General features: G+C 39.1%; 1 long non-coding RNA gene across 3 annotated transcripts in view, besides 2 other annotated features; it reads right to left on the reverse strand.

Annotated features, from left to right (window-relative positions):
* The window catches only part of CASC9 (cancer susceptibility 9), a 55,773-nt gene extending 51,394 nt beyond the window's left edge, over positions 1-4,379 (reverse strand). The window contains exons 1-2 of one of the 3 annotated variants that reach the window (NR_103848.1): positions 3,847-3,971; positions 2,477-2,580 (exon numbers count right to left, since the gene is read on the reverse strand). This is a non-coding gene — a long non-coding RNA (cancer susceptibility 9). Of the gene's footprint in view, positions 1-2,476; positions 2,581-3,846; positions 3,972-4,202 lie in introns of those variants that run through there. The other 2 variants (NR_103849.2, NR_103850.2) reach the window with 2 other exon arrangements.
* Positions 3,406-4,605: an enhancer, noted in NCBI's record as "CDK7 strongly-dependent group 2 enhancer chr8:76190151-76191350 (GRCh37/hg19 assembly coordinates)". NCBI's record gives its function as "activates an origin of replication core promoter dependent on BRD2, BRD4, P300/CBP, MED14 and CDK7 cofactors, with strong dependence on CDK7, by STARR-seq in HCT116 cells {active_cell/tissue: HCT116}" and the evidence as "EXISTENCE:reporter gene assay evidence [ECO:0000049][PMID:35650434]".
* Positions 3,811-4,011: a silencer, noted in NCBI's record as "peak7077 fragment used in MPRA reporter construct". NCBI's record gives its function as "represses an SCP1 promoter by STARR-seq MPRAs in K562 erythroleukemia cells {active_cell/tissue: K562}" and the evidence as "EXISTENCE:reporter gene assay evidence [ECO:0000049][PMID:32103011]".

The following is a 22,939-nucleotide window of genomic DNA, read 5'->3' on the forward strand; positions in this document are numbered from 1 at the left end:
CTATTTTTTTTTTTTTTTGTATTTTTAGTAGAAACGGGGTTTCACCATGTTAGCCAGGATGGTCTCGATCTCCTGACCTCGTGATCTGCCCGCCTCGGCCTCCCAAAGTGCTGGGATTACAGGCATTAGCCACCGCGCCCGGCCAATACATTTTAAAAGATTAAAATCATCTGAAAAATCTCCAAACACAATGGCACGAAACTAGAAATAAGTAATAGAAAAAAATGAGAAATTCATAAATATGTAAATATTAAATAACACACTACGAAAAGGCCAATGGGTCAAAGAAGAAATTACAAGGTAAATTAGAAAATATTTAGAGTGGAATAAAAGCAAAAATACAATCTACTGAAACTTTTGGAATTCAGCAAAAGAAACCTACTCAGAGATTAATTTACAGTTGGAAATGCTCACATTAAAAAAGAACAGTGGGTAGGAGGCAGAGCAAGATGGTCAAATAGAAGCCTCCAGTGATTGTACCCTTGACAGGAACACCAAATTAAACAACTATCCACACATACAAAAATACCGCTTTATAAGAACCACAATTTAGGAGAGCAACCACAGTACCCAGTTTAAACACTTAGTTTTAACTAAGGAAAGAAGCATTGATGATGGTAGGAAAGACAGTCTTGAATTCTCTACACCACCCCTCTCCTATACCTTGGCAGCAGCCACATGATGTGAAGAGAGAATCTGTGCACCTGGGGGAGGGAGAGAGCAGTGATTGTGTGACTTTGCATTGAAACTTACTGCTGCCTTGTCACAGAAGAAAGCAACACTAGGCAGAACTCAGCTAGTGCCTGTAGAGGGAGCATTTAGACCAGCTCTAGCCAGAGGCAAGTTGTTCATCCCAGTGGTCGGAATCTGAGTTCCAGCAAGCCCTGTTACCATGGACTAAAATGTTCTAAGATCCTAAATAAACTTGAAAGGCAGTCTAGGCCACAAGGACTGCAATTCCTGGGAAAGTACTGGTACTCTGCTGGGCTGGAAGCCAGTGGACTCCAGGGTGGGAAGCAGAGTGCAACCTAGTGAGATATCAGCAGGGGTGGTCAAGAAAGTGCTTTTGTCACTCCTCTCCCCAATCCCAGACAGTACAGCCACAGCTCTGGGAGAGACTCTTTCCCTCTACTTGAGGAGAGGAGAGGAGAGGGAAGAGTAAAGAGGACTTTGTCTTGAAACATGGATACCAGTGCATCAACAGTAGAATAGGGCACCAGGCAAAGAGTCCTGAGGCTTCCAATCCAGGCCCTAGCTCCTGGACAACATCTCACAACACACCTTGGTCCAGAAGGGAAGCTGTTCCCTTGATAGGAAGGACCCAGTCGTAGAAAAATTCAACTGCTGACTAAAGAGCGCTGCGTAATCAGCAGTGATAATCATGCAGTACTTGCTGTGGGCCTTGGATGAGACTCAGAGCTGGGCTGAATTCAGGTGTGAACTAGCACATTCCTAGCTGCAGGAATGACTACTAGGAATTCAGAGACATCTATGAGAGAGATACTCTCTATTTGAGGAACTGAGAAAAAAGAGTAAAGGGGATGTTGCCTTGCGGCTTGGATACCAACTTAACCACAATAGGGTAGAGCATCAAGTTGGCTCCTGGGGTCCGCATTCCAGGCCTTGGCTTTTAGATGGCATTTCTGGACCTGCCCTGGGCCAGAGGGGAGCCTACTTCCATGAAGAAAGAGCTCAGAACTGGCAGCATTTACCACAAGCTGACTAAAAATATCCTTGGATCTTGAGTGAACAGCATCAATAGCCAAGTAATACTCTTCATGGGTCTTAGGCAACAGTGACCATAGGGAGAGACTCCTCTGCTTGAGGAAAGGGGAGGGAAGAGTGGGAAGGACTTTGTCTTGTGGCATGGAGGACAGCTCAGCCACAGTAGAATAAAGCACCAGGTGGATTTCTAGGGCTTTTAACTCAAGGCCCTGGCTTCCAGATGGCATCTCCAGACCTTTCCAGGGCCAGGGGAACTTCCTGCCCTGAAGGAAAGGGCATAAGTCTGGCTGGACTTGCCACTTGCTGATTGTAGAGCCCTTAGTCATTTCTTGAGTGAACATAGGTGGTAGCCTAGCAGTGGTCACTGGGGGCCTTGGGTAAGACCCAGTGCTATGCTGGCTTCAGGTCTGACCCAGAACAGTACCAGTGGTGGTGGTCATAAGGATGCTTGTGTCACCCACACTACAACTCCAGGCACATCAGCACAGGGCGAGAGAGACTCTCTTTGTTTGGGGTAAAGTACGGGTAATGCAAGGAATTTTCCTGGATCTTACCTAAGACCACCAAGGTGGTACCTCTAGAAGTCTGCCAGAGCCAGCATTACTGGTCTTGGAGTATCCCCTAAAGCCAATATGGCTGCAGTGACCAAAAACTCAGATCACAACACTCAAGCCCTTTCAAATACCTGAAAAGCCTTTGCAAGAATGACAGGTAAAAAATAAGCCCAGACTATGAAGACTACAATACATACCTAACTTCTCAATGCCCTGACATTGATGAACATCCACAAACACCAAGACCATCCAGGAAAACATGACCTCACCAAGAGAACTAGATAAGGCATCAGTGAGCAATCTGAAAGAGACAGAGATATGTGTCTCAGAGAACTCAGAGAATTCAGAATAGCTGTTTTGAGAAAACTCAACAAAATCCAAGATATCAAAGAGAAGGAATTCAAAATTCTATCAGATAAAGTTAAGAAAAAGATTGAAATAATTTAAAAGAATCAAGCAAAAATTATAGAGCTGCAAAATGCAGTTGACATACTGAAGAGTGCATCATAGTCTCTTAACAGCATAAATGATCAAGCAGGAGAAAGAATTAGTGAGCTTAAAGGCAGGCTATTTGAAAATGCACAGTGGAGACAAAAACCAAAAGCATGCCTACAAAATCTAGAAAATAGCCTCAAAAGGGCAATCCTAAGAGTTACTGGCCTTCAAGAGGAGGTAGAGACAGAGATCTGAATAGAAAGTTTATTCAAAGGGATAATAACAGAAAACTTTCCAAACTTAGAAAAAGATATCAATATTCAAGTACAAGAAAGTTATAGAAGCAGATTTAACCAAAATAGGACTACCTCAAAACTTTTAATGATCAATATCCCAAAGGTCAAGGATAAAGAAAGGATCCACAAAGCAGCAAGAGAAAAGGAACAAATAATATACAAAGGAGTTCCAATACATCTGGCAGCAGACTTCTCAGTGAAAACCCTACAAGCTGGGAGAGAGTGGCAAGACATATTTGAAGTTCAAAAGAAAAAAAAATAACTCTTCTTGTAGAATAGTATATCCAGGGAAAATATTCTTGAAACATGAATAAGAAATACAGACTTTCCCAGACAAACTAAAGCTGAAACGTTTCATCAACACCAGGCCTGTCCTACGAGAAACGCTAAAGTTCTTCAGTCTGAAAGAAAAGGACATTAATGAGCAATAAGAAATCATCTGAAGGTAAAAAAATCACTACTAGTAGTAAGTACACAGAAAAACACAAAATATTAAAACACTGTTATTGTGGTTTGTAAACTACTCACACCATTTATAGACAGACTAAAAAATAAACCTATGAAAAATAATAAGTACAACAACTTCTCAAGACATAAGCAGTACAATGAGATGTAAATAGAAACAACAAAAAGTTAAAATGTGGGATGATGAAGTTAAAGTGTAAAGTTTTTTTAGTTTTCTTTTTGCTTCTTTGTTAGTTTATGCAATCAGTGTTAAGTATTCATCAATTTGAAATAATGAGTTATGAGATATTATTTCAAGCCTCATGGTAACCTCAAATAAAAAAAATACAACAGGTAGCCACAAAATAAAAAACGGAGTAGTTAAAACATACCACTTTAAAGAGGGAGAGGAGCCAAGATGGCCGAATAGGAACAGCTCCGGTCTACAGCTCCCAGCCTGAGCGACACAGAAGACGGTGATTTCCGCATTTCCATCTGAGGTACCGGCTTCATCTCACTAGGGAGTGCCAGACAGTGGGCGCAGGTCAGTGGGTGCGCGCACCATGCGCGAGCCGAAGCAGGGCGAGGCATTGCCTCACTTGGGAAGTGCAAGGGGTCAGGGAGTTCCCTTTCCGAGTCAAAGAAAGGGGTGACAGACGGCACCTGGAAAATCGGGTCACTCCCACCCGAATACTGCGCTTTTCCGACGGGCTTAAAAAACAGCGCACCACGAGACTATATCCCACACCTGGCTCAGAGGGTCCTACGCCCACGGAATCTCGCTGATTGCTAGCACAGCAGTCTGAGATCAAACTGCAAGGCGGCAGCGAGGCTGGGGGAGGGGCGCCCGCCATTGCCCAGGCTTGATTAGGTAAACAAAGCAGCCAGGAAGCTCCAACTGGGTGGAGCCCACCACAGCTCAAGGAGGCCTGCCTGCCTCTGTAGGCTCCACTTCTGGGGGCAGGGCACAGACAAACAAAAAGACAGCAGTAACCTTTGCCGACTTAAATGTCCCTGTCTGACAGCTTTGAAGAGAGCAGTGGTTCTCCCAGCCCACAGCTGGAGATCTGAGAACGGGCAGACTGCCTCCTCAAGTGGGTCCCTGACCCCTGACCCCTGAGCAGCCTAACTGGGAGGCACCCCCCAGCAGGGGCACACTGACACCTCACACGGCAGGGTATTCCAACAGACCTGCAGCTGAGGGTCCTGTCTGTTAGAAGGAAAACTAACAAACAGAAAGGACATCCACACCAAAAACCCATCTGTACATCACCATCATCAAAGACCAAAAGTAGATAAAACCACAAAGATGGGGAAAAAACAGAACAGAAAAACTGGAAACTCTAAAAAGCAGAGTGCCTCTCCTCCTCCAAAGGAACGCAGTTCCTCACCAGCAACCGAACAAAGCTGGATGGAGAAAGACTTTGACGAGCTGAGAGAAGAAGGCTTCAGACGATCAAATTACTCTGAGCTACGGGAGGACATTCAAACCAAAGGCAAAGAAGTTGAAAACTTTGAAAAAAATTTAGAAGAATGTATAACTAGAATAACCAATATAGAGAAGTGCTTAAAGGAGCTGATGGAGCTGAAAACCAAGGCTCGAGAACTACGTGAAGAATGCAGAAGCCTCAGGAGCCGATGCGATCAACTGGAAGAAAGGGTATCAGCAATGGAAGATGAAATGAATGAAATGAAGCCAGAAGGGAAGTTTAGAGAAAAAAGAATAAAAAGAAATGAGCAAAGCCTCCAAGAAATATGGGACTATGTGAAAAGACCAAATCTACGTCTGATTGGTGTACCTGAAAGTGATGGAGAGAATGGAACCAAGTTGGAAAACACTCTGCAGGATATTATCCAGGAGAACTTCCCCAATCTAGCAAGGCAGGCCAACGTTCAGATTCAGGAAATACAGAGAACACCACAAAGATACTCCTCAAGAAGAGCAACTCCAAGACACATAATTGTCAGATTCACCAAAGTTGAAATGAAGGAAAAAATGTTAAGGGCAGCCAGAGAGAAAGGTCGGGTTACCCACAAAGGGAAGCCCATCAGACTAACAGCGGATCTCTCGGCAGAAACCCTACAAGCCAGAAGAGAGTGGGGGCCAATATTCAACATTCTTAAAGAAAAGAATTTTCAACCCAGAATTTCATATCCAGCCAAACTAAGCTTCATAAGCAAAGGAGAAATAAAATCCTTTACAGACAAGCAAATGCTGAGAGATTTTGTCACCACCAGGCCTGCCCTAAAAGAGCTCCTGAAGGAAGCGCTAAACATGGAAAGGAACTACCGGTACCAGCCACTGCAAAATCATGCCAAAATGTAAAGACCATAGAGACTAGGAAGAAACTGCATCAACTAACGAGCAAAATGACCAGCTGGCATCATAATGACAGGATCAAATTCACACATAACAATATTAACTTTAAATGTAAATGGACTAAATGCTCCAATTAAAAGACACAGACTGGCAAATTGGATAAAGAGTCAAGACCCATCAGTATGCTGTATTCAGGAAACCCATCTCACGTGCAGAGACACACATAGGCTCAAAATAAAAGGATGGAGGAAGATCTACCAAGCAAATGGAAAACAAAAAAAGGCAGGGGTTGCAATCCTAGTCTCTGATAAAACAGACTTTAAACCAACAAAGATCAAAAGAGACAAAGAAGGCCATTACATAATGGTAAAGGGATCAATTCAACAAGAAGAGCTAACTATCCTAAATATATATGCACCCAATACAGGAGCACCCAGATTCATAAAGCAAGTCCTGAGTGACCTACAAAGAGACTTAGACTCCCACACATTAATAATGGGAGACTTTAACACCCCACTGTCAACATTAGACAGATCAACGAGACAGAAAGTCAACAAGGATACCCAGGAATTGAACTCAGCTCTGCACCAAGTGGACCTAATAGACATCTACAGAACTCTCCACCCCAAATCAACAGAATATACATTTTTTTTCAGCACCACACCACACCTATTCCAAAACTGACCACATATTGGAAGTAAAGCTCTCCTCAGCAAATGTAAAAGAACAGAAATTATAACAAACTATCTCTCAGACCACAGTGCAATCAAACTAGAACTCAGGATTAAGAATCTCACTCAAAACCGCTCAACTACATGGAAACTGAACAACCTGCTCCTGAATGACTACTGGGTACATAACGAAATGAAGGCAGAAATAAAGATGTTCTTTGAAACCAATGAGAACAAAGACACAACATACCAGAATCTCTGGGATGCATTCAAAGCAGTGTGTAGAGGGAAATTTATAGCACTAAATGCCCACAAGAGAAAGCAGGAAAGATCCAAAATTGACACCCTAACATCACAATTAAAAGAACTAGAAAAGCAAGAGCAAACACATTCAAAAGCTAGCAGAAGGCAAGAAATAACTAAAACCAGAGCAGAACTGAAGGAAATAGAGACACAAAAAACCCTTCAAAAAATTAATGAATCCAGGAGCTGGTTTTTTGAAAGGATCAACAAAATTGATAGACCGCTAGCAAGACTAATAAAGAAAAAAAGGGAGAAGAATCAAATAGACGCAATAAAAAATGATAAAGGGGATACCACCAACAATCCCACAGAAACACAAACTACCATCAGAGAATACTACAAACACCTCTACGCAAATAAACTAGAAAATCTAGAAGAAATGGATAAATTCCTCGACACATACACTCTCCCAAGACTAAACCAGGAAGAAGTTGAATCTCTGAATAGACCAATAACAGGATCTGAAATTGTGGCAATAATCAATAGCTTACCAACCAAAAAGAGTCCAGGACCAGATGGATTCACAGCCGAATTCTACCAGAGGTACAAGGAGGAACTGGTACCATTCCTTCTGAAACTATTCCAATCAATAGAAAAAGAGGGAATCCTCCCTAACTCATTTTATGAGGCCAGCATCATTCTGATACCAAAGCCTGGCAGAGACACAACCAAAAAAGAGAATTTTAGACCAATATCCTTGATGAACACTGATGCAAAAATCCTCAATAAAATTCTGGCAAAACGAATCCAGCAGCACATCAAAAAGCTTATTCACCATAATCAAGTGGGCTTCATCCCTGGGATGCAAGGCTGGTTCAATATATGCAAATCAATAAATGTAATCCAGCATATAAACAGAGCCAAAGACAAAAACCACATGATTATCTCAATAGATGCAGAAAAATCCTTTGATAAAATTCAACAACCCTTCATGCTAAAAACTCTCAATAAATTAGGTATTGATGGGACGTATTTCAAAATAATAAGAGCTATCTATGACAAACCCACAGCCAATATCATACTGAATGGGCAAAAACTGGAAGCATTCCCTTTGAAAACTGGCACAAGACAGGGATGCCCTCTCTCACCACTCCTATTCAACATAGTGTTGGAAGTTCTGGCCAGGGCAATTAGGCAGGAGAAGGAAATAAAGGGTATTCAATTAGGAAAAGAGGAAGTCAAATTGTCCCTGTTTGCAGACGACATGATTGTATATCTAGAAAACCCCATTGTCTCAGCCCAAAATCTCCTTAAGCTGATAAGCAACTTCAGCAAAGTCTCAGGATACAAAATCAATGTACAAAAATCACAAGCATTCTTATACATCAACAACAGACAAACAGAGAGCCAAATCATGAGTGAACTCCCATTCACAATTGCTTCAAAGAGAATAAAATACCTAGGAATCCAACTTACAAGGGATGTGAAGGACCTCTTCAAGGAGAACTACAAACCACTGCTCAAGGAAATAAAAGAGGATACAAACAAATGGAAGAACATTCCATGCTCATGGGTAGGAAGAATCAATATCGTGAAAATGGCCATACTGCCCAAGGTAATTTATAGATTCAATGCCATCCCCATCAAGCTACCAATGACTTTCTTCACAGAATTGGAAAAAACTACTTTAAAGTTCATATGGAACCAAAAAAGAGCCCGCATCACCAAGTCAATCCTAAGCCAAAAGAACAAAGCTGGAGGCATCACACTACCTGACTTCAAACTATACTACAAGGCTACAGTAACCAAAACAGCATGGTACTGGTACCAAAACAGAGATATAGATCAATGGAACAGAACAGAGCCCTCAGAAATAATGCCGCATATCTACAGCCATCTGATCTTTGGCAAACCTGAGAAAAACAAGCAATGGGGAAAGGATTCTCTATTTAATAAATGGTGCTGGGAAAACTGGCTAGCCATATGGAGAAAGCTGAAACTGGATACCTTCCTTACACCTTACACAAAAATTAATTTAAGATGGATTAAAGACTTAAATGTTAGACCTAAAACCAGAAAAACCCTAGAAGAAAACCTAGGCAATACCATTCAGGACATAGGCATGGGCAAGGACTTCATGTCTAAAACACCAAAAGCAATGGCAACAAAAGCCAAAACTGACAAATGGGATCTAATTAAACTAAAGAGCTTCTGCACAGCAAAAGAAACTACCATCAGAGTGAACAGGCAACCTACCGAATGGGAGAAAATTTTCACAACCTACTCATCTGACAAAGGGCTAATATTCAGAATCTACAATGAACTGAAACAAATTTACAAGAAAAAAACAAACAACCCCATCAACAAGTGGGCGAAGGATATGAACAGACACTTCTCAAAAGAAGACATTTATGCAGCCAGAAGACACATGAAAAAATGCTCATCATCACTGGCCATCAGAGAAATGCAAATGAAAACCACAATGAGATACCATCTCACACCAGTTAGAATGGCGATCATTAAAAAGTCAGGAAACAACAGGTGCTGGAGAGGATGTGGAGAAATATGAACACTTTTACACTGTTGGTGGGACTGTAAACTAGTTCAACCATTGTGGAAGTCAGTGTCGCGATTCCTCAGGGATGTAGAACTAAAAATACCCTTTGACCCAGCCATCCCATTACTGGGTATATACCCAAAGGATTACAAATCATGCTGCTATAAAGACACATGCACATGTATTTTTATTGCGGCACTATTCACAATAGCAAAGACTTGGAACCAACCCAAATGTCCAACAACGATAGACTGGATTAAGAAATTGTGGCGCATATACACCATGGAATACTATGCAGCCATAAAAAATGATGAGTTCGTGTCCTTTGTAGGGACATGGATGAAACTGGAAGCCATCATTCTCAGCAAACTATCGCAAGGACAAAAAACAAACACCGCATATTCTCACTCATAGGTGGGAATTGAACAATGAGAACACATGGACACAGGAAGGGGAACATCACACTCCGGGGACTGTTGTGGGGTGGGGGGAGGGGGGAGGGGGGAGGGATAGCATTAGGAGATATACTTAATGCTAAATGATGAGTTTATGGGTGCAGCACACCAACATGGCACATGTATACATATGTAAGAAACCTGCACATTGTGCACATGTACCCTAAAACTTAAAGTATAATAATAATAAAATAAAATAAAAAAATAGTGCCTAAAATCAAAAACAATCAAGGAACAAGATTATATGCACAATGTTGAGATGCATGTAAATGCCATCAGTCTGAAAGAGGTAAAATCATCTACAGAGTGGGAATTAGAGAGAGAAGGAGGACAGGAACTTATATTTTTCATGATAAGCCTTTTAAAATGATTGCTTTTTAAACTATTGTGTTTTGACACATTTTAAATGTGCACATTTAATTTTGATTTAAAAATTAATTTTAAAGAATACCATAAAATATATACTCAATGTATGATAATAAAAAAAGCTGTAGTGAATCACAATAAGCATATCATTACAGCTAAGGAAATAGTTTGCCCTGTCTTCTTGATTATTCCCATCATTCTTTGAAGGTAATAGATCAAATACATTTCTAAGAAAAAGAAAATTATCCCCCAGTAATTTCACTCTGCCTGTAATTTCATAGTGGGCACTATAAAACATAAAAGAAGAAAAGAAAAAATGAGAAATTAACAAGAAGAGCACTGGAGAAAGTTATTAACCAAAACAGCAAAAAATAGTATTTCAATAACTTTGTACTAATGTAGAACATGGCATGCTAGGAATAATAGCAGTAAATTGCCCTATGGTAACACCTAATGATCATAAAGAACTGTAAGAAAAGTTTGACTGTGGACATGGGCAGGAAGTCAACTTAAGTCAACCAGCTGTGTGGATGTTCTTACTCAATGAGTTTCTTAAAAAAAAAAAGCTCAGATATTCAGCAAATACACACATAAGTCATAGAAATTAAACACCAAGAATGGCACCTGTTTGGATAAATAAGGCTATGTTTTTGAAAGTAACCTTTCCACAAGTCAATAACAGAAGCTATGGTGAAATGTAAAAATTCACAATTCTACTTTGTTTCACTGAGTGCCCAATCAACGATTCATACAGTTGAGATGAATGTGACAAAACTCTTTATAGATAAATATATATGCCTAAGTTTATCTATATATATATGTCTTTGTGTGTATATACATACACAGATATATGCAAAGACATAAATAATCTTCCTTACAAAACATCAATAGATCATTTTCACAGGGAATAAGAGAGTACACACATAGCCTCCTATGTTGGCTCTGAGACATCTAAAAAGCAAGACAGAGAGCATTAATCTTCCATTCAAAAATATATCCCTATAGAAAACTTTTGCAGTATATTGTCTCTTGTTCAATATATAGCCTAGTCAAAACTTATTTATATTGCTATTAAATGGCAAGGTTTTTTGTTTTTTTTTCCCTCCCTACAAATCGAGTGACATTTATCAGCATATCAAAAGCTGTTTAAGGTTAATATTTGACTAAGCATTAAATTAAAAAAAGCAGCACAAACCCATGAGACTTAAGATTTTCAATGTATTAGCTCTTGATTAGCACATCAGATAGAGGACTGCTGGGCTCTGTTGCTGAAAAAGCATTGTCATCATCTCTTCTCCCGTTTCCATGACAATAATATTAGAGATATAAAATTATGAAAGAACTTCAAATGTCAGTTCTGTGCAGTTAACCGTGTTTCAATATCTGCCCCCAATTTTTCCAGTTAGGTTGCAAATACTACTCTCTCTGTTTCAGACCCAGCTGAAATTTAATCAGGTAGAACTGGAAAAATTGCTGAATATTCAGATGTGATTAGGCATATATTACAATTTATCTTTAAATAAAGGTTTAAAAGAAACTCATTAAATTTTATTTGTCTTTAGGTATCTCAATATACAGTAAATAGGACTAGATCATCATTGTGAAGCTAAGGTATTTTTTTTCTTGTTTTTCCTCTGAAACAAATCTTCTTTTATTATATTTGCTCTAACCATATAAAAAAAGATACGATGTGTTAGATAAAGACTTGTGTTGTGTATAGAGTTGTCTAAAATGCCTGGCTTCCTAAAAGCTCTTGACATATTTACTAGAACAATTAACATTTGAGAGAAGAGAATCTTTGTCACAAACGCTGCCACTGGAGAAGGCAAGACTGTTTAAGAACATGAGACTGTTGGCTTTCAAATACACGGTTCTTCAAAGAGGAAATATTTTGGAAATAAGTAAAGTTTATATTTTCAGCAGCGACTTTCAGGGTGTTGTTTTTTCCTCTTGAACTGAGAACAGCAAGGATAACTGAGTGCTGTAAGAAAAACCTCCGAATAAAGGTCTGTCTCATAACCAAACTTTCTTAGTTTTCGGATCTCACTTTGCCTAGTTCAATATTTCTCTATCCATCAAAGAATAGCTTTGAATAACTTGATTTATTAGCATTATGGAAAGATGTTTTTCCTTTTTCCCCTTTTAATTTACACTAAGAATAGTAAAAGAAATAGCAGCTAATCCTTTTCAAAAGAAATGTCATTATTTCTTTTCAAAATATTTTATATAGTTTATGACTCAGCCATAAATCATCATGCTCAATGAACAGAGAAACACTATTATGAAGAATCAGGAATAGTTGATGATCCAAAAGTTACAAATAAAAGTTTTATATTTAAGATCTATGTTACAGGGATCAAAGATAAGAGAGTATAACTGATTTTCACTTCTTCCTCAACAACTAAAAAATCCTATTCTAAGCCCCAGTCAAGAAACACCTTCTTTAAGATAGCCTTAAATTCCTGCAGTTAATTGTTCCCTCTGCTATGATTATGTCACAGTATTTTGTGGATTATTATCTACTATTTATATCTGATTTATTTTAACTCCTGTCTAGACCAGGAACTCCTTCACAGTCCTCGCCTTACTTTACTCATTTGTATATTCTTAGCACTTATTCATTGATTCCTTCATTCAAGAAATATTTATTGAGTATTTGTTACATGTCAGACACTGTGCTAGGCACTGAGATCAAAATAGTGTTAAAAATAAAATGGTCCCCTTTGGCTGGGCGTGGTGACTCACGCCTGTAATCCTAGCAGTTTGGGAGGCCGAGGCAGGAGGATCATGAGGTCAGGAGATCGAGACCATCCTGGCTAACAAGGTGAAACTCCATCTCTACTGAAAATACGAAAAATTAGTCAGGCTTGGTGGTGGTCGCCTGCAGTCCCAGCTACTTAGGAGGCTGAGGCTGGAGAATGGTGTGAACCCAGGAGGCAGAGCTTGCAGTGAGCAGAGATCCCGCCACTGCACTCCAGCCTGGGCGACAGAGCAAGACTTTGTCTCAAATAAATAAATAAATAAATAAATAAATAAATAAAAAAAAATAAAATAAAATAAATGGTCCCCTTCTTTCCAAAGCTTCAGTTTAGTGGAGAAGACAGACAGAATATTTATTTGCTTGATTCTTGATAAAAGCTAGTAACTGTTAGGACTCAGATACATGATGCTATGATGGTAATAAACAGGGAGGTATAAAACTAGCAAAAGAGTTGAAGATTCTGACATCTAAAACATGAGACTAAGTTAACTACTCAAAATGATCGCAAGGTGAGCTGGAGGAAAAGCTTTAGGAAGACAGAAAGTGCAGGGAGAGCTGTGTGGTGAGAGGTAAAGTCGCCAAATCCAAGGGGTTATTATCAGATTGGAACACAAAATAAGGGTTTGGGGATGAGGAGAAGCTGAGGAGATAGGGAAGGCCAAGGCTTTGGGGGTCTTGTTGCCCATCTTAACAATTTTATCCTTTACCTTCAGAACCATAAGAAGTGATGGAGGTGACTGAATGAGGCAATATTTCAATAACATCTGTCTTTACTCCACATTTAGCATGAACTGAGATTTGCAGTGTGGAAACCAGATTGGAGCAAAGTAAGAATAGATGACAGAAGGCAATGGATACTGATCTTAGCCCAGTACCTGATATGATCAATGAATTGTCAGGTCATCCCCCAATACACCTGAGTGGTTTACCCTTCCCAATGTTTGTAATCAAATGAGAACCATCTCAGTGGGGCCACCAGGCACAGTGGCTCACACCTGTAATCCCAGCACTTTGGGAGGCCAAGGTGGGTGGATTACTTGAGGTCAGAAGTTTGACACCAGCCTGGGCAACATAGTGAGACCCCATCTCTACAAAAAATTCAAAAATTAGCTGGGCATAATAGTGTGCACCTGCAGTCCTAGCTACTGGAGAGGCTGAGGTGGGAGGATCACTTGAGCCTAGGAGTTTGAGGTTTCAGTTAGCTATGATCATGCCATTGCACTTCAACCTGGGCAACTTATCTCCAAAAAAGATTATTATTTTCTTGTAATTTTTATCCTGTAAGTAATTCACTGGGATTCTGGAAGTCAAGGAGATTTGTAGAAGTGATGATAGTTGTTAGAAATGATTATTTAGAGAGGATTAATTTAATTTTATTAATAGGTATACAGATTTGTACTTCTTACTCATCCCTTAAAAGCTGCTCTGTGTGTTCATTTGTTATGTATATAGTGAGAGATTAAATATAGAAATGGACAATGACCAGAGCATATATAAAATAGGATTCTCACCCACAACCTGCAATAATTAGTCCAGGAAATCAATCCATTATCTACATTAACCAGCCCAGAAAGCTAGCCTGCTGTTTATAAGCTAAACCTATAGGAAGTTAGATTTTTATCTCTAACAACAATCCGAGAAGCTGAACAGTAACAATTGGATCAAAATGTCTAGAGCTTAGTTAATAACTGAAAGCTTCTCCAAGTTTTATTCCTGCTTTCAACTTATGCCCAACCACAAAAAACCAAATATGTGCTCCTAACAAATATAGACTTCTAGTTAGCCTGCTTACACCTACTCTCTGCTAAAAGCTCAATCAGTGCATATCTGAAACCTTCCCTTTTATCCTCTATGAAGCTTCCTTACTTGTCTGCCTACCTTTGAATCTGCTAAAATGCCAGTGATGGTAGCTAAGTCCCTTGCTATAGCAAGTGCTGAATAAGTAGTTTTTGCTTCTTATTTGGTTATTCTTCATTTCTTTCTACAATAGACTCTCTGTCGTCACAGGAGCCACAAAGAGCTAAATGTCCACTTACTACTTTTAGCTATATATCCATTTAATCAGGGTCTGAGATATTGAATAAATGAGCTACTATGCTTTTGAGTTAATACGTATGTGAATGTATGTGTGTGAGAGAGAGAAAGAGACAGACAGAAAAGAAAAAACACACAGAGAGAATGAGCTGAGTATTTAGGAGTAGGAGGTTGACACTGCATTCATCAACTCATTTGTATTGAGTACCCACAGTGTGTCAGGCACTATGTAAGGCCTTTTTGATGTATAGTAGATAAACCAAATATCCTCATCCTCATGGAGCTTACATTGTAGAAAGAAACAGATAATAAACAATGAACATAATAAACAGATGAATTCAATAGTACTTTAGGAGATGGCAAATACTATTTAAAAAGACAAAGGTAAAGTAAGGAGGCTGTCAGAAGCCTAGGTAGGGAGTAAATTAAATAGGTGGTCAGGGAAGGCCATGTTGTGTAAAGGTTATAGTTGAGCAGAAACTTCAAGAAGGGGAAGAAGAGTCAGATAAGCAAATACATCTGGAGGAAAGGTCTTTTTGGCCAAGAAGAGCTAAAACAAGGGTCTAAAAATGGAAGAGCACCTGGTGTGTGTGTGTGCAAGAAATAGCAAAGTGATGAGTATGGCTGGAGTTGAGTTGTTGAAGGGGAAGGGAATAGGAGATAAAGTCCAGAGGGAGTAGGGTGCATGTAGGGCAGAGGGAGAGAGAGCTCTTAGGCCATTTTAAAGAAGTTTGCTTTTTGTCTGGTGGAACCAGGCTTGTTGCAGAGTTCTGAAGAGACAAATGACATAAGTTTAAACTGACCCTCTGCAGCTGCACTGAGAATAGACTTTGGTGGGGAAAGAGTGGCTTTAGTTTTCTGTTTACATTTAAATATTTGTGTGTACAAGCATATAGACATTTGCATAGTGGCTAAGACTGTAACTAGACAATTCTGGAAACACAAATTCCAAATATACTAGAAACCTGGCTCTCTTACAGTTTTGTTTTCTTCTTCATCTTCTCCCTATTCTATCCAACTAGAGATCAGGCCAAGACGAGCTACCCTTCTCTCTAATTCCTGCTATTCTAGAAATCTAGTGAGCTTAAAAAAGAACGTATGGCCTCAAATACACTTATATTCAAATAAAACATTCCAATAATATCCCCTTAAATTCAAAGTCTGATTTATAGATCAAATGATGCCTGCATCCACTTTACACTTTTCAATCTATGTAATAATTATACCCAATATTAGCACACTGTAAAGAATTAAGCCAAATGTATTAGGAAAAAGTAAGAATTATTCAAGGAAATTGAATAATATACATTCTAATGCAACTGTGATAACTACTAACTTGTAAGCGGAAAAAGCTGGAAGAGAATTTTGATTTAAATCTTAACATCAATCTGGAGCTCAAAGAAACTTACTCATCAGACCCTTGCCCATGGTCTGTGCCGGAAAACTTTTGTTAGATGGTAAGGTGATGCTTAGAAGGAAGATATTGGACTGACACCAATAGCAAAATACATATGCACAGAAAGCTAACTAGTACTGTAAATGACAAACAGAAAAGTGTGGTTCAGGGGAAGGCATTCCCTGAAAATTCAATCTATTTTCTCTAATCCCTTGTGAAGACAAATTTTAAATGGAGGAATGCAAAATGTCTTACTATTTGGCACCAAGATGCCTCTTTGTATTTTCATTGAAAATAAAAATGTAGGAATCCAGAAAGAATCCATGTCCAGTTAACCTGGTTATGGCCCATTGACAAGGCATTCCTTTCCAACCATAAACATTTCCTGATGGTTGAGAGATATTCCAAGAGTATAGCCCATTTAGATATTCAAATTAAATAACAAAGAGCCATCTTTACTTCACTGCATTCTCTGACACCAGTTTAATGACATACTTGTAGACTACAAAATGGCCATTATTATTTTTGGTCTTTTTCACGTCCTCACTTTTAGCAGAACTAAATTTATTTATTTAAATTTTAAATACACATAAGTTTCAATGAGACATTGTATAGAAAGTTAAAATAGATATTGTGAATAACCCTCAGTTCATTAAACTCATGCAACATGCAGGTAACAACCTATTAAGCTCCAAGGGACTAAAAATAGCCTGGTTAAAATCATTGCCTAAAATAATTTAATTCTTAAATATAATTTGCAAATCTTATTTCCTTTCTTTGTTTTAAGATCTTTTAGTGGAAAAAGTATTAAACATACAAATGAGGACTCTGAAGGCAGCATTCAAAGAATCTAAAATTATCTCCCATTATGTAGCGAGACTGCATCTCTTTCTTCCTTCTTTTTCTATTAACTTATTACTGACCATGGCATGTGGTCCCTAGAGGAAGGCCATATTTCTAGTCCTGTCTTACAGTCAGGTGTGGCCATGTAACTAAGTTGTGGCCAGTGGAATGTGAGAACTGATGTGTGAAATTTCCACAAAGTGACATTAAAGGAAGGGAGTGTGTCTTCCCATTTATCCTTCTTCTCCATGCTAGCTAGAATGCAGAAGTTTTGGCAATCCATTTTGGACATGCAGTTAAGAGCAACACTCAAGAATGGAAGAGTGGTGAAACAACAAAAGAGAAATGAGGACCACTGACAGCTTTGTGAAGCAGAACTTTGATACCAGCTGGGACTTTTAGGTAAGGGAGAAAACAATTCCAGTCTTTTAAACCATTATATTGGGTGTCTGTCTCCTGGCAGAAATTATATCACCTATAACACATATTATGGACATATCCTGTGTAGCTGAGAGTAGAGATGTAAGAATCAATGTGTAGTGTAATGGAAAGCATATGAGATATAGTATCAGTATGTCTGAGCATAAGTCTCAGTTTATTCACTTTCAATAGCTGCTAATTTATGGCAAATAAGTTAACTTTTTTGTTCTCTCATCTATAAAGTGATGATAGTAAAAGTTATTTCATCATTTTGATGAGAGGAAAAATGTCTTATGAGATTAATCTATAGAAGTATTAGTTTCTATAGTGATATGCCTGTCTTTAATATATAAATAAACAGCTAAGTTAAAACATGAATTATCTTCATTTACATTAAGTTTAGACTAAAGGCATATATCTTATTAATGATCTAAAACTGATGATCTTCTCTGGGGTTGTTTTTTCTGGTATTTATTAATGGATCGGCAACACATAGATAGCAAGTATGATTTTCCAGAGCATTTTACAGCATGAATGCCAGGCAGTGTGAGAAACTTGATCGTGTTAAGTACTTGATAAGAGAAATTCTGTTGTGCTGTCTCATTTACTCTTGTTACCCACCTACCTGCAATCGTTGAACCATGCATTTCAATTTTGGTGTATACAACATTTCTGGAGACTATCAGATTAAAATAAGATTCATTTATCCAAGAATGAAGAATGCAATTAAAATCAAGGCAGCTTCTCTTAGTCCAGAGAGTCCTTAGTTGGGACACCCCATTACCGTTTGGTTTCTTATGGAACAAGATCTCACCACATCTGAGAAGGTCAGTACTTGCTACTGTACAGTTCTTTCAGACCTATGGGCTTATGCCACTATTGTGAAAGAATGCACATGATAAGTTGTATGCTTCTGTGTAGGAAAACATTTATTTTGGGCTCTTTTAATTTGTAAAAGAAGCACAGCATGACAAAGCTCCTTACTGGTGGGAAGGGTCTGGTCCTTACACAGAATCAGATTCGGTGGCCAGCATCTCTCCTTCCAGGTACCCAGCTCATTTTCCTCAGTATGTATGCGTATTCTTACATGCATGTTTGTGCAAACATTTGTTTCTATGTTTTTATTCGTTTCCTTAACGACCTGTCAATATATGTCATTATCATCTATAAGCATTAATGAAAATGTTTTCATCTAATATAATTTTCTTCTCATGTGCACACAGAATCCATTTCCATGAATTGTACTAGTTGACTTCAGGTTCCGTAAAACGTCTAATTTACCAGGTTAGACCACAAATACTAAGGGGTCCGTAAATATTCTCTCAATCATCTATGAAAGTGGAGGTGGATAATGACATGAAAATACAGAAGTGGCCGGGCGCGGTGGCTCACGCCTGTAATCCCAGCACTTTGGGAGGCCGAGGCGGGTGGATCATGAGGTCAGGAGATCGAGACCATCCTGGCTAACAAGGTGAAACCCCGTCTCTACTAAAAATACAAAAAATTAGCCGGGCGCGGTGGCGGGCGCCTGTAGTCCCAGCTACTCGGGAGGCTGAGGCAGGAGAATGGCGTGAACCCGGGAAGCGGAGCTTGCAGTGAGCCGAGATTGCGCCACTGCAGTCCGCAGTCCGGCCTGGGCGACAGAGCGAGACTCCGTCTCAAAAAAAAAAAAAAAAAAAAAAAAAAAAGAAAATACAGAAGTAACTTATGTTTATGTTTGAAATCCATTTTCTTAATGTGGAAATGAACATTTTTTTGAAATCTGAGATGTCATAGAATTTTATTTGAAACTTATTAACTAAAAGTAACCATGAAGATCTAATTCAGAAGAAGCTGGAGATTCATTTTACTAAATCTTTACTGGAGCTCAAGTGCCACACTCTGACACTGGGACATGAACAGTCCAGGCCTCCTGACAGTATTAAACATCATGTTGTGGGGAAGGATGTAGCAAAACACACATATTAAATTAGTGCAGGCATAGTCCTCACTATCCTGGCCTCATGAGGCAAACAGGGGAGCAGGCGCAGATGAGCAATAGGACATCAAGCAGGGAAAGAGATGGGTGGCAGTCACAAGACCTCTACCACTTTACATAGATAAATTATTTAGGGTTCTTGGGATGATCAACAAAGATGTTCTCCTAAAAGAAGTTTACCTGCTGATACAAGCAAGCAGACTAGAAAAATGGACTTGGATCAAGATGGAAAAACAGGAAGGATGTATCCATTATAATTATTTATAAGGGTATTTAAATATATATGCACGAATATATATAAAATATCCTCTTGTAAGCTTACTATATTTGAAGTTTCAACATTTGCAGGTTGACTGATGGGTGTCAACAGAGCTAATTAAACATTTCCAGAAAGCACAGAACTGAAAGGGACTTGGAGGACTCATCTGTTGACATTTAAATATCTACTGTGCAAAGTGGAAAGCAAGATTTGCATCCAACAATGCTACCTGGTTAATCCAACAGCTTTTATAACCCAGCAAATTGTTCTTGTTCAATAGTGCATTTTTATGAAATCAGGTGGATATTTTCAATGTTATAATCAACGTTTCTCTCATCTCCCCTGCATTGGAGTAGCTCCACTGTAACAGATGTTTCCCTCTTTACTGCTGAAGTAAAACTGCATGTATCTTGACACAGGCAGGCAGGACTTGGCTGTGGAACATTCAGCCTTCCATCAGGTTATTCCCTCAGTTTCAGTCATTGGCTTAAATAGGGCTGTTTCTTCCAAGCTCAACAACATAGTATCCAAACACTATTTCTCCATTAGTCACCCGGTCCCACACACCAAAATGCAATGCAGACTTGGAAACAAATGTGTATCCATGACCTTTAAGGTCTAACATGGTCTGGTGGAAAGCATATTGGAAGAATGGTAGTCTCACCAACTTGCTAGGTGACCTTTGGCAAATTAATTGACCCCAGTGTGCTTCATTTTCCTTTCTACACAGGAAACATAAAGGCAATAATACATAGCTCCCTGCCCTATCTTACAGGGATTTCATAAGGCTGAAATAACTGTTTACATTCTGTTTTGACATGTTCATGTTGAAATAGTCCCCTTTCTCTGCAGGTAGAATCATGTCACCAAATTTATAATAAAAACTGTTGGAAAAGGGCTTAGTGGAAACACAGTTTAATTTTACTATCTGGAACAAATTTATTTCATTCAATGATGATGCCTGGTATGTTTTAAAATGGTAGAAGCACAAGATTCAGAATTCAGACCCAGATTGGAGTTCTAATGCAGTTACTTTAAAAGTCTCTGCTCTATACATCGAGGTTCACTGATACTCTTCCACCTTATCCTTAGCCCAGTACAATATAAGAGACAATCGTGGCCAAGGCAGACAGCAAAAGCCAAGGGACAGATTCTATTTTTTTTTTTTTGAAACTGAGTCTCACTCTGTCACCCAGGCTGGAGTGCAGTGGAGCGATCTTGGCTCACTGCAACCTCCACCTCCTGGGTTTAAGCCATTCTCCTGCCTCAGCCTCCCGAGTAGCTGGAACTACAGGCACATGCCACCACACCCGGCTAATTTTTTGTATTTTTAGTAGATATGGGGTTTCACTGTGTTAGCCAGGATGGTCTTGATCTCCTGACCTCGCGATCAGCCTGCCTTGGCCTCCCAAAGTGCTGGGATTGCAAATGTGAGCCACCGCACCTAGCTGCCAAGGGCAGATTCTTACTCCCCAAATCCAGTAACTCATAGACATCTGTTGTACTCTCACACCGCTCGGCTTGTCTACCTTTGTGCAAATGAGATCCAGAAAACAGGATTACCAGTTAGAAAAGATAGGTGTGTGCACTTCAAGTCACAGCACCACCAACTCTGAACCCCTTTTGAATGTAGTACAGTTCTCATTCAGCTCCAGAGGTCTGATCAAAGTCCAGCTCTAGCAAAGTTTCTGGCATAAAGTAGAAAATCAACACTTGTGAATGTTAGTGCAACTTTCTACTCTGCTTTTATTTCTCCGCCCTCCTCCCTAAAACTGGCTCCTTATCCTCACAAATTGAAGTCTAAGTTCCTGACTTACAGAATGTATGCTTTAAATGACAGCTGTCCACTCTTCTGACAACTGTTTCTGAATTCCCTAAAATTATACTCCAAATTTCAAGTGAAAATACCTGGATCTCATCATTTAGAGAATCCTAATTTATACTTTCAGATCCTCTGGACACCAATGGCCTGATCACTGGAAGCTCTGAAGTAAAATTTTAAAGCCAGACCGATTCTCCAGTCCCTATTCCATTTTAATTTGTAAATCCCATACAGAGCAGAAACTCCTGGGCCATTCAAAAACATGTATTTATCACCCACTGTGTGTTATGCAGACAAATTATTGGTAGGATTTTAACTATTAGTGGGATTTTAACTATAGGTGGGATAATAATGATTAACATTTACTTAAAATTTGCTATGTTAGGTATTGTTCTTAGTGTTTTTTTCATGCTATCTAATGTCTTAGCTGTTTGGATATTATTATTATGTAATCAAGGGAAGATTAAAGTAGTGTAAGCAAATGAATGACATAGTACCACCCTAAGACATGGGCAAAAGGGACCACTGACTTGGAACTATGCATCTTACAAACATGTACACAAATTTTATTAAAAGACATGTGGACTCTCTGGTGCAATAATTTCACTTTGCCTGGAACTTCCCTGGCTTTCGCACTGAAAATCCTACATCCCAGGAATGCCTGTCCCTTAGTCCTAGGCAAATAAGGAAGGCTGTTCACCCTAACCTCTGTCCCTGGCTAGCTGGCTCTCAATGCTGGCACAGTGTGACCCATAATCCTAAACATATACTCTTGTGAATAAACACATTCAGGCTCCAGAGAAATGTTTCTGCACATATTTTCCATACATTCTTGAAACAAAATGTGGCTGAATCCAAAAGCCATAGAGGCTCATAAGGTTGTACCACTGGATATATTGTAGACTATATATTTGTAGACTATATATACTATTTTGCAGTATGTTCAGAATCTGACCTGCAGAAATACTTAAATGAGAGAAAAAGATGAATTTTTGCACCTTGTCAAATCTTTCCCCTTAGATATCTAAAATATAATAGATACTTGAAACCATTTTATTGCTTTCCAGTAGTGCCAAGCATCCATTTCTTGCTTCTCGTTGTATTTCAATTCAACATATGGAAGCACTCAAAAATAACATGGTATACACAATACTTACATATGGAAACTGAGGATTATTTTGCATTTTTCAATAATTTATAAGCTGGGTGTGGTGGCTCACCCCTGTAATCTCAACGCTTTGGGAGGCCAAAGCGGGAGGATCACTTGAAGCCAGGAGTTCAAGATCAGCCTGGGCAAATATATATGAAACAATTATAACTCATAAAATTATTTAAGAAGTAAACATGATACACCATAAAA

This window comes from Homo sapiens, chromosome 8, assembly GCF_000001405.40.
Source record: "Homo sapiens chromosome 8, GRCh38.p14 Primary Assembly".
NCBI lineage: Eukaryota > Metazoa > Chordata > Mammalia > Primates > Hominidae > Homo > Homo sapiens.